The sequence below is a fragment of the Homo sapiens genome, chromosome 7 (assembly GCF_000001405.40).
Source record: "Homo sapiens chromosome 7, GRCh38.p14 Primary Assembly".
Lineage (NCBI taxonomy): Eukaryota > Metazoa > Chordata > Mammalia > Primates > Hominidae > Homo > Homo sapiens.
Window position 1 is genome coordinate 42,908,871 of NC_000007.14, and position 7,109 is coordinate 42,915,979.

The window sequence follows — 7,109 nt, forward strand, 5'->3', positions numbered from 1 at the left end:
TCACTTGCCACTTGCAAATGAAACATGAAAATAGTATTTATTGTTCAAATACTTATAATATGGGGGCTTTCTGTATTGAATTTTTAAAATCTTTTACATAATCCTTTTTCAATTCATTCAAATTAGTATTTTACCTTAAGTGTCCTGGTTTTATCTTATAGTAGTAAGATTGTTGGCTTTCTTTTCACAAAGGTCTACCAATGGGTTCATGGCACTCAAATAACCATAATTCACTTTCTCATTTCTTCTGTATTATGTACTTTTTGTAAAAACACCTATCAGACTGCACCTGACATACAGCAAATAAGTTTTTCATTAATGGTTAACCTTAGAATCTAAAATTGATTACCAACGACTACCTCCCAGCCTAAACCATATAAAGCAATACAATGAAAAACAGGCTTGAATTTTCTCCAGATATTTAATGCAAGATGCAATGTAGCCATATTCCATGAAATGTGGTTAGCAGTAGGGGAGTTGTAGCCCTATCGAATCAAAGTATTACAATACAGCTGAAAGCTTTATATAGACGTATTTCGGTTCTTAATTGCACTAATGCAGACAGTTTGATAGATAAGCTTCTCTCTTGTGCTTTTTCTACTTTGGGAGGTTATATACTTTAGATGAGAGACAAAGAAACTCTACTGGTTTAAGAGTTCTCAGTTTTACTTTTACTATAGACCTTTTTTCCCACCAGTTTAGATGGGAAGACCCAGCCTTTGGTATAAATAACTTACTTCCACAAAAATATTTAAAGGGTATCTTTAGTGTTCACTGTCAGTTGTGTAGTCTTTTGGTAAGGGGGTGGCTAGAGCCTCTTTACTCTCAGTAAGTGCTCTGGGCTGATGGATAAACACACTAAATTTAACACCCTGGTTGTTTGCAGCTCTGACAAAACCACTATTAGCAGTCATTGTGATGGCTTTTAGGGTGTCTCCCGTCCCAAAAATTGTTAATGAGCGGCTATTAATTTTTGAACTGGCCACTAGTCTCAAGGCACGCTCAGAAGGCTGGTCTGGTACCACATTAATTCGCTTAATTAACACAGTGGCCCTCTCTCTCTCCCCAGGTCCTCCTAAGGTATCTAAAATAGACTGAAAGTCCTTGACAGCAGATTCACAAGCAAACAACTCCTTGTCCTTCATAAAGGCCTCCAGCTGAGGTAGAACCTGCTCTTTCCTCTCTTGCTCTGCTTGTTCTGTGAGCACTTTCTCTTTGAAAATAAAGTGGCAGCCTCCATAGCTGAGGGCAGATACATATGTGATTAAAGTAGTAATGTCCAGATTTACTCTTTTGCACACATCGACCTTAATTTCTGTTGGAAACGCAACACTTGCTAGTATATTTTCTCGGTCAACTCTGGTCACCTGCAAAAGTTCAGGGCCCTCATCATCTGATTCACTCTCACTTGGTTGAAGCTCTTCAGGGTGATCTAACAGAGCGTTGACTGCTACTATGTCTCCTCTCACAGATATGCCCATTTCTTTCAGCTTCTCTGCCATGGGGCTGGAGACACTGTTGTAAAATGCAAAGATGATGTGAGGGTTGCTATACTGCACTGGCTGCTGGTGACTGGCCTGGAGGAAGTCTTCAGCCTGCTCAATGATGCTTTTGTCACCATATTGGCCCCTGCCCAGCCAGATGTTATGAAGAGCTTCAGCCTTCCGGCCAATGGCTTTCACCCAAGTATGACCACCATTTGCAACTACATCTACCACAAGGGTTTGCTTTTCTCCTAAGGTATCTGTATAACCAAAGACATGAAGAACACTAACAACTTCTTCCAGGTTTTCTGCTGATTCCACAATGGCTCTCAGGTGTGTTAGGTTAGTGCTCTGTAAATGAGACTCTTTAATAGCTACTTTCCCAGCTTCTACTTTCTGCAAGAATTTTAATTCTGCCTTCAATTTGCTGCACAGCTTTGCACCACCTTCTATGCCACCTTTTCTTGATCTAGAAAGTGATTCTGCTCTCTTGATCAGTTCCTTGGCTATGGCGATTCGTTCACAGAGCATGGAATGTGCAGACATGCTGTCAGCATTATTCCTTTCCTAGGGAAAGAAACAAGGCAAACTTCAGTAGTCTCCTAAAATTATGACAATCAATTCTTCACTGGTGATTAAAAACTTCAATCTAGCAACACAGCTTATGGAGGGTGAGTCTATGAACCCGGGCTTGTGTATGTCTCATTCTGGAGTGACTGCTTCCTCTGATAGCTAAGGAAAGGATGGCAGCTACACTTTTGAACTCTTCTTTAGGTACGTCTGACACACTTTAGACCTTCATTTCTTCAGCTTGAAAGCCATGGGGACACAGCATGGTCCTAGGTTAGGATACAATGCAAGAGTTGGGCAATCTGCTATATAAATAATTCCCTTATGTCTATCAGCGGCCTGTTTAACTGCTGAGAAATTTTAATAAAGGCGACAAAAATGCCGAAAACAAAAATACACACAGACTGGCTAGTTAGCAAACTGTCCAAAGCAAGTGTCTGTCCTAAACTGAGCACTTCAGCCTCCCTAACCTTTTCCTCCTTCCCGAGTTGGTCTCCTTCAACCGGCTGCCTCATGATTTCCCCCGAGGCTTGGGGTACTTACGCCAAAAAAAATCAACACTGCCTCATTTCTGCATTTGACGTCAACCCAGACTATTTTAAAAGACCGAAGAAGACCACCAACTTGCGTCCCACTCCCACTCCGACTCTGAAGGAAAATCCGAAGATGAAACTAAACTCCAAGGCTGCAACCCGCGGCGGCCGTGCAAGCGGCCCCAGCGCAGGTCGCCGGGTGGGCGGGCCAGAGGCCGGCGGGGCCTTCTCGGTGGGCTGCGGGGCCCTCGGCCCTGCCCGGCCACCTGCACAGCCGGGCCCTGCCAGGAGGGGCCGGGGCCGAAAAGCCCCCACCGCCAGCGCCGCGGCTCAGGGACCAGGCGCTGATAGCGCGCGGCCGACCCCCTTCCCGCCGGGCCGGCCCTGCCCAGCCCCCTCTGGCCTCAGAAGAGGCGCCCCGCTCCCAGCCTCCCCGCCTCGCTCCCCGGCTCCTCACCGGCAGCGCCAGAACCGCGAGCGCGAGCACGCAGGCGCGTGCACGCAGAGGCCGGGACCCGCCGGGAAATCTCAACCGGGCAGCCCCCACCCCGCTCGAACGCCGAGGCGGCTCCACCCGCGCGAGCCCCGCCGCCTCGGGCACCTCCTGCATCACGTGGTTCCGGGCCGGGTGACGCCAAACCTGCGATTCCCAAGCGGCAGCGCGGCCTCCCGAGCCGGGTTGACGCTGGCGTGGCGGCCATGTTTATTGAGGGCACCTGGCTTCTCCCGCTTGCGCCGCCGGGTGAGCCTGAAGGCGCGCACCCACCTGGCTCCAGGAAGAGGGACCGAGCTCGCGTGCTGGGCCTCACTCCCACTGGGGGCGTCGGCCACTCGATCGCAACCGGGTCGTAGGCATTTTGGGGGCTCATTTTAACAGAAGAAACGCTGGAGAAGCTTGTCAGAGGTGACAGCTGAGAAGTACTGCCTCTGGGACTTCTGCCTCCAAGCCAAAGCACTTTCCACTGCATTGTCCTGGGCCCTCCAAAGAAAGTGTGCTGTCCTTCTGAAGAGAAGAAATGATTGCATGGCTTCCGAGGGGCTGCCATATTCATATTACTGTAGTAGAGTGTCCAGAGTCACCCAGAAAGATTAGGGCTGTAAGAAAGTAAAGCTAATTTAAAATATTAAAGAGGACTTCCAGTTATAATTAATCCTGTGTATCCTGCTCCTTCTCCAAACTTAACAGTAAAGCAATGCTCCTTCTCCAAATAACAGTAAAGCAATGACAAAGGGAACAAACAAAGGCAAAAAGAACAAGAGAAGAGATGACTGCAGACCGGTTATACCAACACATTTTTGGAGGACAAGAGCAATAACTTATTCAGTCCTTACAGCGTGACAGACATTGTTCTAAGTGTTTTACACATTGTTCACTCCTTTAAACAACCTAAAAGGTAGAGATATTAAGTATGCTTTACAGATAAGTGAGCCATAGGGAGGTTACCTGAACCCAAGCACCCTCTTTGCAGATGGTGTCAGGAGAACTGAGCAAACTGCTTGTAGAAGGGGATATTTAGCCACTGATTCACAAAGCAGAACCCCAGAAAGCTTCAGGTGCCTTGAAGGTAGAAGGGAGGGCAGTAAATTGTTCAGGCAGAAGACTAGTTTAAGATGCTAAAGACAGGGCATCAGAGGGATTCCAGACACAAAGCCTAACAAAGGATGAGAGGTGCCATGATGTTTTCCTACTGAATAGTGCAATGCTAGCAGCCCCCTTCTCTGCCCCTCCCATAATGCAGGCACCCCTCTACCGCTCCCTACCACTATCTCCCCATAACCCTATTTTTCTCTGAAGAAATGAGTAGACAAAAGACCCTAGAGAAATGGCTCGGCAATACCAACATTCAGCATCCCCTAGTGTGAGCCTCACGAACACAGCATTTCCCAACGTTTTTGTTATTTGAAGGAAATGGAAAACAGAACAAAATGGTCTCAAAAAGTATTCTATAACTAGCATCTTCAAATAAAAGATATTTCAGCTATGAAACAAGAGGATTTCTTTTTTTAAGGAGACAGCAGAGCACAGGAAATGGTTCTTCTGTAGTAAAAATCATATCCCAAATTTCAAAACATCAATGAGTTGGAAAAATTTAGAAAGTAGAAATAGATGAAAAATGGAGCAAAAACAAAAGGATCCAGTATCCAATTAACAGGAGTTTAGAAACAAAAACAAAATGAAGAGAAAATTTTTCAAAAACTTAATAGAAAATTTAGCAAACAGAAACGTTTTTCACAGTGCAAGGGCCCACTGAGTGCTCACCACAATGACTATTAAGAAACCCACACAAAGGAACATGGTTGTGAAGTTTCAGAACACAGCAGATAAGAGAAAAACCAAGAGCTGCAGAGGGGAAAACTTACAAAGGACTTGGCATCACATACGCAATAGTATTAGGCTTCCTATCAGCAACACTGGAATTTAGAAGGGAGTAATGCTTTCAAAATGTGGAGATAATTTATTTCTTAGAGTTTTTAAACCCAGCCAATTCAGAGAGAAAGCAAGGAGAATAAAGATAGTTTCAAACAAGCACCTAGCCTGGATTGGAACAGGAAGACAGAGGGTTCTAAGAGAAACTTCTCTGAGGTGTGGGGAAGAGAACTGATACAGAGTGCCTGATATCTGACTGATGAGGAAAATATTAAGCAGAGGGTGTTAAATTTCTGTTGGGGGAATCTGGCAAGGATTGGTGACAGCTACGCAGAAAACAAAGTAACCAAGTGGGCTGGGCGCCGCCATGGCTTATTTGTAATCCCAACACTTTGTGAGTCCAGGGCGGGAGAATCACTTGAGCACAGGAGTTCAAATCCAGCCTGGACAATGTAGTGAGATCCCTGTCTCCACAAAAAGTAAAAAAACTAGCTGGCCATGGTGGCTGACATCTGTATTCACACCTACTGCAATGGCTGGGGTGGGAGGATCGTTTGACCCCACGTCAAGGCTACAGTGAACTGATTTGTGCCACCTCACTCCAGCCTGGGTGACAGAGTGAGACTGTCTCAAAAAAAAAAAAAAAAGAAAAAAAAGCGGTTATCACTGCCAGGAAAGTTGTTCCGGAAATGTAAATTGTAGTACACTTAGTCATAAGAAAAATCTTCAACATGATTTAATTGAGGTAGGGAGAAGGAAGTCAGTGTGATATGAGGATTCTAAATTCTCATCTTGCACAATGGGAAGTCTGGCAGCTCAACTCCGGGAATCCAAGAAAAAGGCATATAATCCTACTATTTTGAAATACGGAGGCAAGTACCTCATGAAACACCTAAAAAAGTCAAAAGTGATGGCTTTCAGGGAGTAGCACTCACATTTTACTTAACTTTTTAAATATGCTCATGCTTAGGAAGTTATCAGATAATTGGCAGCCAGATATTGCTAGTTTCATAAGTTTCTTGAGAACAGGGTGGAGGGAGGAGCTCTAAATTGAAGGAACTGTGTGAAGCAATGTGACTTTCATACAGAACCACCAGGACTGGTTTTCAGGAAATCAGGATTCTAATCCAAGGGAACTCTCAACTCCTATATGTTCTTGGGCAATTCGCTGAACATCAACTTGCTCTTCTTTGCAATGGGGGGCTCAGAGAGCTTGCCTACATGGGTGAGTAGACTCCTGAAAAAAAGGTGAGGTAAGTACTAAGAGTTGGCAGTTTCATTCTATGAAGAAAACTGAGCAATAGATGAAAACCCTTCAATGTTCACTTATCACCTACTTGATGCCTGAGAGACTGTGCAAGGTAATTATCTCAAGGTTGGGTTTTTTTTTTTTTCCTTCAGGGATGCTTGAGTGTTATCAGCACTTGATAATTATAAGGCTCTGTATTAGTATTCTTTATTGCCTGTGTATGTGAATTTTAAGCATCTCCATGTTTCACTGCTATTAATTGCTTTGCAAATTTAAATTCATGGTTCAGTAGAACTGGGAGGAAGTAGAACAAATGGAGTTAAAATGTTTTAAGGGTTAGAAGATACAAAATGAACCAAAAGGCAGAGGCTCTGAACATTAGAAACATTATGATACTTAAGCTAAAATCCACAGGCTGGAAATGGTTCAAGAGTTTTGGAATGTTTAGGAATGCAGTGGGTTGCTACATCAAAGAACTCTAAGAACTGGGACAAAAAGGAACAACTTAATTTTAAGGCCCGTGGAAAGAATAAACAGAACAAAGGGAGAAGTGTTGTAGGCAGCTTGAACTGGAACTGGGCTTTGCATTTAATGGGGGCAGGAGGTGGAAAACAGAACCTGGATCAAATCTGGTTCAGCTGATTTTTCCTCCCTTTATTCTTTAGGCCTAATTTTGTTAGCACACAATAAAAACCTACATGAGTTTTCCTTACCTCTGAAATATTAACATGCCTTTAATTTTCCCTTCTTTGATTTGTAGAATTTTGACATTGCTTTGCTCTTTTGATACTGGACATTATAGAAGGACTAAACAAAATCAACGGCAGTTAACAGAGTAACTATTAACCACACCAGGCTTTAACTTGTGTTATCAAATTTAGTCCTTAGGAAACCCTGAGATATGG

The 7,109-nt window shown here is 44.1% G+C and overlaps 1 protein-coding gene across 4 annotated transcripts, besides 4 other annotated features; it reads right to left on the reverse strand.

The window, feature by feature from the left end:
* Positions 1-402: 402 nt before the first annotated feature.
* Positions 403-3,200, reverse strand: C7orf25 (chromosome 7 open reading frame 25). Of its 4 annotated transcripts, XM_047420827.1 has the most exons (3): positions 2,598-2,973; positions 2,170-2,323; positions 403-2,051 (listed from the first exon to the last, which is right to left on the reverse strand). In XM_047420827.1, exons 2-3 carry the CDS (start codon positions 2,188-2,190, stop codon positions 765-767), a joined length of 1,308 nt encoding a protein of 435 aa, XP_047276783.1. In that variant the 5' UTR covers positions 2,191-2,323; positions 2,598-2,973; the 3' UTR covers positions 403-764. The 4 variants fall into 4 exon arrangements, with proteins under 4 accessions (XP_047276783.1, NP_076959.2, NP_001093328.2 ...); NM_024054.3 differs by lacking the exons at positions 2,170-2,323; positions 2,598-2,973 and adding an exon at positions 3,045-3,200 and having other exon boundaries at positions 403-2,046; NM_001099858.2 differs by lacking the exons at positions 2,170-2,323; positions 2,598-2,973 and adding an exon at positions 3,045-3,200.
* Positions 2,029-2,726: an enhancer, noted in NCBI's record as "H3K27ac hESC enhancer chr7:42950498-42951195 (GRCh37/hg19 assembly coordinates)". NCBI's record gives its function as "activates a minimal SCP1, AML or CMV promoter by ChIP-STARR-seq in primed H9 embryonic stem cells {active_cell/tissue: H9 hESC(primed)}" and the evidence as "EXISTENCE:reporter gene assay evidence [ECO:0000049][PMID:30033119]".
* Positions 2,727-3,423: an enhancer, noted in NCBI's record as "H3K27ac hESC enhancer chr7:42951196-42951892 (GRCh37/hg19 assembly coordinates)". NCBI's record gives its function as "activates a minimal SCP1, AML or CMV promoter by ChIP-STARR-seq in naive and primed H9 embryonic stem cells {active_cell/tissue: H9 hESC(naive and primed)}" and the evidence as "EXISTENCE:reporter gene assay evidence [ECO:0000049][PMID:30033119]".
* Positions 2,772-3,031: a silencer, noted in NCBI's record as "silent region_18122". NCBI's record gives its function as "represses an Ori minimal core promoter by ATAC-STARR-seq in GM12878 lymphoblastoid cells {active_cell/tissue: GM12878}" and the evidence as "EXISTENCE:reporter gene assay evidence [ECO:0000049][PMID:35858748]".
* Positions 4,943-5,002: an enhancer, noted in NCBI's record as "active region_25904". NCBI's record gives its function as "activates an Ori minimal core promoter by ATAC-STARR-seq in GM12878 lymphoblastoid cells {active_cell/tissue: GM12878}" and the evidence as "EXISTENCE:reporter gene assay evidence [ECO:0000049][PMID:35858748]".